The 8,618-nt window shown below is 37.0% G+C and overlaps 2 annotated features.

Annotated features, from left to right (window-relative positions):
* Positions 636–1,135: an enhancer, noted in NCBI's record as "H3K4me1 hESC enhancer chr2:138465941-138466440 (GRCh37/hg19 assembly coordinates)". NCBI's record gives its function as "activates a minimal SCP1, AML or CMV promoter by ChIP-STARR-seq in primed H9 embryonic stem cells {active_cell/tissue: H9 hESC(primed)}" and the evidence as "EXISTENCE:reporter gene assay evidence [ECO:0000049][PMID:30033119]".
* Positions 1,792–2,291: an enhancer, noted in NCBI's record as "H3K4me1 hESC enhancer chr2:138464785-138465284 (GRCh37/hg19 assembly coordinates)". NCBI's record gives its function as "activates a minimal SCP1, AML or CMV promoter by ChIP-STARR-seq in primed H9 embryonic stem cells {active_cell/tissue: H9 hESC(primed)}" and the evidence as "EXISTENCE:reporter gene assay evidence [ECO:0000049][PMID:30033119]".

Genomic DNA, 8,618 nt, shown 5'->3' with positions numbered 1-8,618 from the left:
TATCATATGTCTCCATTATCAATACTTCTCCTATGTTTCCATTATTAATAATAACTGATGTAAAATTTTGGTAGATGTCTTATACTAGGCTGAAAGAGTTGCCATCTATTATTAGTTTGCTATCAATTGTTACCATTAATGAATATTACAAATGCTTTTCATATATTTGACATAATGGTTTATTTCTTTTTCTTTAATTTCTAAATATAGCAAGTTACATGTTTATTTTAAAATATAAACTGTCTTTACATTATTGGGACAACTTGATATGGCCATGATATATTTTTTAAAACAAATATTTCAATTTGGTTTGCTAATATTTTAAAACATATTTTGCCTCTATGGTCAGAATAAGGTTGGCCTGTAATTTTTCTCTGTACTTACTTTTGGTCTTTCATACTTTCTTTAAAGTTCTTTATACTTTCATCTTTCTATTTTATCATTATATATACATATATGTTTATTCACTGTGACAGAAAATAAATTAATTTAGTCATATATATTGGTGTTGTATTTTTTATTTAGATTTTCTAATTCTTTTCCTTTATTCATCTTTCCACTCATATCAATCATCACCTTCTATCCAGGAATGTAGGCACTACTCAAAATTTCTCCACAATCTCACAATAATATATAAAATATATATTATATGAAATACATAGTCATATATATGCTTAAAGATGTAACTCTTTGATTATTTTTATTAAAAAATGAATGATATTCTATATGTATTTCCTCATTTTTCAGCATCTTGATCTATTTGATGGCAGTAGTGGCCCATCTGGAGTGGCAGCTGCAAGGACATCAGCTGCAGCAGGGGAGGCACAGCCAGGGCTGCGCGATCTGCAAAGATGACAGGCGCTGGGAACAGGTGATCCCAGTGGGAGCCCCACACCCTATTTAGTTGGCAGAGACTGTGCTCCTGGGTGCAGCTGCAGCCACCCAGTCACAGCTCTGGATCCAGTCATCCCTGTACTCTCGGGGGCCTAGGAAGACCCCTGCACCCACAGGCTTGGAAGTGCCTGCTCCCACTCCCTGGCCTCTCCCTGCTCCCAGTGCTACTCTGCAGCAGAACAAAGTTGTGGACATGTCCCGATAGCTGAGCCCAGGCACTCTTGCTACCCAGCTGGGCATGTGTGCACTTAGGGTGGTGCTGACATACCAGTCTCCTGCTGGCTTGGCCTCCTCTGGAAACTGCTTCTGAGGCTAAAACATTGGGTGCTGACGGTCATGGGAGGGAGCCCAGGGGGCTGAGGGTGGCTTAGTATGGGTTTGTGGGTGCCCCTCGGTGCAGACATCCTGGACTCTGTGGATGGCATGTTGATGGCAGTGGGAGGCAGACAGGTTCCTAGGCGGGAGGGGGCTGTTCCCCTGTGAAATCCCACCTTCAAGCCAGGGACAGCCTGAAGCCTGGGCACTGGGCTTCCAGTTCCCAGTGGAGTCCACAACCTGGAGTGAGAACTTCCTTGATGCCTTCTGTGACGAGATGGTGCTTTTTCCAGGCCTGCCCATGGCTGCCCATGGACCAATCAGCACATACTTCCTCCCATCCATGGATCAATAAGCATGACCTTCCTCTCTTTTGAGCCCATAAAAACCCCTGGACTTAGTCAGACTCAGATATTCATCAGCAAGACCTGCTTGCAGATAGGAGCCACCCACTTCAGGTCTCCTCTCTGCTGAGAGGTGTTCTATCAATAAAGCTTTCTCCCTTGCTCACCTTCCATTTGTCCACACAACCTCATTCTTCCTGGACATAGGACAAGAACTTGGGACCTGCTAAACACCAGGAATGAAAGGAACTGTAACACATTCCTGGCTGGCTCGCAGAGGTGCCAGTGGCAGCTAAAGGGGCTGTAATAGGTTCCTGGATGGCTTATTGAGCTGCAGGCAGTGACACACTCCCAGACTGTGGGAGTGAAGGGTGGTGACTCTGCTGGGGGCCCATACCTCAGGATTCCCCCAAGCCAGAGCTGCTGTAACACTATAGCTCTCTGGCCCTTTGCCAGCACTGGGCAGGCACCTCTTGCAACAAGAAGCAGTGGCAGGGCTTGGCCAGCCCAGGAGCTGCAGGCCTGGCTGAGGGCAGAAGGACTGAAAGAACTGTTACACAAACGGACTTAAATACTCCTCCTGAAACATGCCCTCCACCCTGCCTGCCACCCAGCTCGCTGCGCTGCAGGTGACAAGAAGGAAAGAAGAGCTGTAGCCCTTCTGAAACCCCAGACCTCAGGGCTCCCCAGGTCAGGGCTGTGACATGTTGTAACATCCTCTCTGGGGCTCTGTGGTTTGTGGCGTCTCCGAGCTTTCAAGTGCCATTGCATTCCTCTTGTCCAGATGCTGGTGCCCACAGCAGAGGGTGCTTGCTCTATGTCTGTTCCAGCTTCAGTCTTGCATGTAGCTGGCACATGTGCCAGTGCCTGGAGCTTCCCACCCCACCACAGCAGCCAGAATGCCTGGCTGTGCACAGTGGCCGGCTTCCGCACCCACTCGCTTACACACTTCTTGCCGCTCCATGCCTGACTCTCCCTTGGCAGGCGTGGGATACGAGCTGGTAGCGTAAGCTAAATGCAGCCTGTCGGGCCGAGTGTGCAGAATGAGCCCAGAGGGCACAAGAAAAACTCGAGCTGAGGTTCTGCTGGCCACAAAGGTTTCTGGCTGGTGAAGCAACACCTGAAGGATCCTGTGACATATTCACATGATGATATTTCATTAAATCCTTACAAGTAAAATTCTTTTTAGTGGCTGCATAGTAATCACTATGTGCACATATTATTATTTATTCAACAGTTCCGTATTGAAGGGCATTTACTTTTTAAAAAATTATATTGCAATTAACATCTTTATATATATGTTCTTAGGTGCTGGCTGATATTTAATTTTCATTATATGGATTCCTAGGAAATAGATATCTAGAAATGTGCAAATGTATGTGCAAATGTGCAAATGTATGTTTTTTCAGTAAAACTTTATATATTATACATATAGAAAATTACATGTCATAATTGTACATCAGATAGTTTAAGATACAGAAAAAGATTAGCAGTGCCCTATTGTTGAACTTTACATTGTCATAAAACACAGACAGTCCTCAATTTACAATCATTTGACTTATGAGTTTTTTACTTTAGATGTTGTGAAAGCAGTAAGTTTTCTATAGAAACCATACTCCGAGTACCCACACACCATCTGTTTTTTACTTTCAGTACAGTATTCAATAAATTACATAAAATATTCAGGATTTATTACAAAATAGGCCTTGTGTTAGGTGATTTTGCCCAATTGGAGGATAATGTAAGTGTTCTGAATACACTTAAGATAGGCTAGGCGATAATGTTTGCTAGGTTAGATGTATTAAATGTGTTTTCAACTTACAATATTTTCAGTTTAAAATGAGTTTATTGTGACACAACCTCACTGCAAGTTGAAGAACATCTGTATTAAGCAAAATAAGTCATAGGCAAGAAAGTAGTATACACAGATCCTTCTTAATTTATGATGAGGTTACATCCTGATAAATCTCTCATAAATTGAAAATTTTATAGGTGGAAATTGTGTTTCTTAAATTGTAACTTGAAAACAATGTCTTGGGAGTCTAAACTGGTACAGAAACTTTAGATAAATATGTCTGAGTAAACCCGTAGTAACTTGAAATGTTTTCAAGTTACAATGGCTTTATTCACACATATCATCATAAGTTGAGGAGAATCTTGATGTGTATCACTTTGCACCATTGTAAAATCAAAAACTCATAAATCACACCATCAACAGTCAGGGATCATCTGTATGTGCTTGCTACATTAATCCTTCTTGGATCTAAACATATTTGTATCATTTTCATTGTATGATATTCTGTCCCATGGCTACATAACACTTTATCAACCCACAATTAAACATTTGGATTGTTTCTAGTTTAGGGATATTGTTAGTAGTGCTCTTATGTATATTCTTGTACACATCTTTCTTTGCACGTAAGTCCGTATTGCATGGAAATGGAACCAATGAGTCATCACCTATGCTTTTATTCCACTTGAGTGGAAACTGCCACAAAATTTATCTAAAGTTTCTGCACAAATGTACACTGCCAGTAATAGTACTTGAGGGTTTCCATTGTGCCAAAGTATCGCCCACGTTTGACACTGTCTTTTATTGTTTTAATTTTATTTTTTATTTTAGCCATTTGGCAGATGAGTTGTGGTCTCATTGTGGTTTCAAGGACTAAAAAAATTAGCATTTTTTAAATGTATTGGCTATTTTGATATTCTCTTTTATAAATTGTCTATTCAATGTGTTCACTTTCTTACTTGGTTGTCTTCCTTTTATTGGTTCATAATAGTTATTCATATATTCTGGATGCATGTCATACATACATGTAGTTATACACACATACAGACACACACTTACATAGTTGACCCTTGAACAACGTGAAGGCTAAGGGACACCAATCACCCCTAAAGTGTAAAATCCATGTATAACTTCTGACTCCCCCAAAACTTAACTACTAATAGCCTACTGTAGACTGGAAGCCTTACTGATACCATAAACAGTCAATTAACGTGTATTTTTTATGTTGTATGTATTATATACCAAATTATTACAGTTAAGAAACTAAAGAAAAGGTTATGAAGGAAATTATAAGGAAGAGAAAATATATTTATACTACTGCATTGTATTAATACTCTGTCTGCTTACAAGGCAAATCATCTGTCTGCAGCTGCAGACAACTGCAGGAAACTGCAGCTGCAGACCTCAACCCGTAGTACATATCAAGCAATTCAACTTTTTCTTGTAATGTCATGTCTTTTCTCTGCTTAAGTCCTCCAGCATCAGTAGAGCCATTTCATAAGGGTCCTGTGGTGTTATTCAAGGTTTATAGTATTGAACTAAGTACAATGAAAAATACATGAGAACTATGAGAGATCACTTTTTGATGTGATATACAATTTACTAGAGAGAGAAACTGCTCATGCAGAAATGATTAACATCATGTAGTATTTTAAGTGGATACTCACAGCACTTGAGCTAACTGCATGCTAACCTATAGGAGATAGCTACAAAATTATTACAGTAGTAGGTCCTATAGTTCATTTTATGCAGTAGTAGGCCCTGTAGTTCTTTTTATACAGTAGTAGGTCCTATAGTTCATATTTACATTTGTTTACATTTCTCTTGACCACAAATGATTGTATGTACAGTCTATGTTTATATGCATAAAATTTGATACATTTTAACTGTTTATATCTGTGTATATTTTATGGTAGTAAATGATGAAATAGTATCTAAATAGATTTTTATACATTTTATGCAGTCATGACATACCTTTTCTTAATTTTTTAAAATAATTCTGTTCTTTTAAAAAATTCTAATTTTAAAATAAGGCTACGTGGTTCATCTGCACATTTTTTCAAATTGTCTCAAATCTCCAAAAAATTTTCCAATATATTTTAAAAATTTGCATATAAGTGGAATCGTGCAGTTCAAACATGTCAAAGATCAACTGTGTGTATGCATACAACTGTATTCTTTTCCCACTTCTTGTTTACCTTTTCACTCAGTAATGATGTCTTTTAATTAATAGATATTTAACATTTTAATGTAGTTTATCCATCGATTTTTTATTTCATGTTTTATATTTTTATGTTTATTATAAGAGATCATTGCCAACCCCAAGACTATAAAGATACTCTAATACATTTTCTTCCAGAAGTCTTATTGCTTATTTAAAATTTGCATTTATATTTACAGTACTTCTGAAATTCATTTTGCAAATAACATGAGGAATATGTCAAGATTCAATATTTTTCTATGCAGATATTCAATTGATTCAGCATTGGTTATTGAAAAAATAATTCTCTCCACACTATAACACAGACTCTCCTTTGATATAAATCAAGTGACCATATATGTGTACAGTCTTTTTTAGATTCTCTATTCCACTCTCTTGATGCATTAGTTTGTCTTACCCCAACACTACATGATCTTAATAGGTGTAGCTTACATAAAGTTTTCATATCTGGTAATAAAATTCTTCCAATTTTGTTTTGCTTCCACAAATTTGTCTTTTTTATTCTTGACCCATTACATTCTCTCATGTATGTAAGAAAGAGCTTATGATTTTATTTTATTTATAATTTCAACTTTTATTTTATTTTCTTTTGATTTGTGGGTATGTGTGCAGGTTTGTTACATGGGTGTATTGTGTGATGCTGATGGTTGGGGTATGATTGGTTCTGTCAACCAGGTAGTGAGCATAGTACCTATAGTTTTCAACATTTGCCCCTATTCCGTCCTTCTCCCTCTAGCAGTCCCCAATGTCTATTGTTGCCATCTTAATGTCCATGAACACTCAATGTTTAGCTCCCATTTTTGAGTGGGAACATGCGGTATTTGGCTTCTGTTTCTGTGTTAATTTGCTTAGGATGATGACATCTATTTGCATCTGTGTTTCTGCAAAGAACATGATTTTATTCTTCTTTATGGCTGCATAGCATTTCATGGTGTTTATGTGTCACATTATCTTTATACAAACCATCATTGGTGGGCACATAGGTTGATTCCATGCCTTTGCTATCACAATATATAGATTTAATATGTATTAAATATTAATTGTTATAATATATATTTAAAATTTAAAAATTTTAAATTTAGTAAGACACCATTACTGGGTGAAAAGGTAAGCAAGAAGTGGGAGAAGAATACAGTTGTATGCATACATACAGTTGATCTTTGAGCAACACTTGTGAATAGTCCAGGCTATGATTTTAGACATATACACATATTATGAGATTTTCTTTAATTTGTTGATTGATTTGGAGATAATTGGCATCTTTACAATTTTGAATATTGCAATTCATAAAGCTCCATTTACTTACAAAGACCATCTTTAATTTCCCTCAGTAATGTTTCATGGCTTTTCTGTGTCTATATCTTACACAACTTTTAGTTTTACTGTGTTTGACAGTTCTTGCTGCTAAAGTAAGAATAATCATTCTTTAAAAAATTAGTATGTAATTGTATCTGTTGTTGCATAAAAACATTTATTTATATATTGACTTTTTAATCTATTAATAAATTATCTTTTTAATTCTATTTTTCATAGTTTGTTATGAGTTTTATAGATACCTAATGACATTATGTGTGAATAATAAACTATTTCTTACAAACATTATGCATTTTCTTTTTCTTGTCATATTGCAATAGCAAGGACTTTTCACAGTGTTGTACAATGTTACATAGAGGTAGTGATAGTGCATATCTTTTGTTTTCTATTTCATAGTTTACTACTAAATAGAATGTTTGTTATAAATATATTTTAATACTATTTTAATTCAGTTAGAACTTACATACAGTGAAGTGTACACATATTAAGTGTTCAGTGTAGTTAATGTTTACATATGTATACACTTTTGTAACCACCATGGGATCAAAATATAGTACATTCCAGGCATTCTGGAAGGCTAAGATGTGCCCTCCTCCCATTACCATCATGGCCTCTTATAAGTGACTAAATACAGTTGGTATTAAGTGTGTGAGGGAGCTTATTGATGGAATCCATAAACAATTTTCTGGAGCATACAGCCTGGTAGAGAAATGTGAAAGTAATCTGCTAGGGCAAATGGTAGATATTCAGCTATTTTCCTCCTTAGAGTTAACTTTTGCCCTTTGTTCTGTTGAAAAATATATATTCCCATGTCAAGTTCCAACAGCTACTATATTATCCTGAGATCATTCCAGTCCAGTCATCTCTCTTCCTGAAATACTGCTTTTTGCTCTTCATTTAAGATATTAGTGAGAAATAGGTAAAGAGTGTGAGATAAATTGATTAATATAAAACATATCTCTTGGAGTTATGATCTCAGTTAAATTATAAATGGTCACAAAATACAATTGATCACTCCATAAGATTAAGAAAAAACATATAACATGATACACACACACACACACACACACACACACACACACACATATATATATACCCACACACACATATATTTAAAACCACCAAAAAGCTATGGGCACAAAGAAATTTAAGTAAATTTTTTTTTTTTTTGTATTTTTTGAGACAGCGTCTCACTCCTGTTGCTCAAGCTGGAGTGCAGGGGTGACATCATGACTCACTGCAGCCTCAACCTCCCAGATTCAAATGATTCTCCCACCACAGCCTCCTGAGAGGCTGGGACTATAGTTGCATGCCACCACACCTGGCTAATTTTTTGTATTTCTTGTAGAGATGGGGTTTTACCTTGTTGTCCAGATTGGTCTCTAACTCCTAGGCTCAAGCCATCCACCCACCTTGGCCTCCCCAAGTGCTGGGATTACAGGCCTGAGCTACCATGCCTGGCCTAAATAAAATAATTTTAGAAATATGTGAGACCTTTAGAGATGAGCAGAGACTGCAACATCCTTCATTTCTGAATGCAGTTGTTGAGTCTATAGGAATACTTGGGTGGAAAAGTTAGACCATTATAAGCAAAGCAGCATTAATGCCAAAGGGAGAGGCAAGCTGAGATTTTTACCAGTGCAAATTGGCTGACAGGGCTGCTAATGAATTTCTCCATATAAGGAATCTGGGTGACTAAGCAGTGGTTCTGAAAAACTGATGGCAGACAGGTTGGAAA

Source organism: Homo sapiens, chromosome 2 (genome assembly GCF_000001405.40).
Source record: "Homo sapiens chromosome 2, GRCh38.p14 Primary Assembly".
Taxonomy (NCBI): Eukaryota; Metazoa; Chordata; class Mammalia; order Primates; family Hominidae; genus Homo; species Homo sapiens.
Note: the sequence above shows the minus strand (reverse complement) of the source record. Positions and strands in the feature narration are given on the sequence as shown.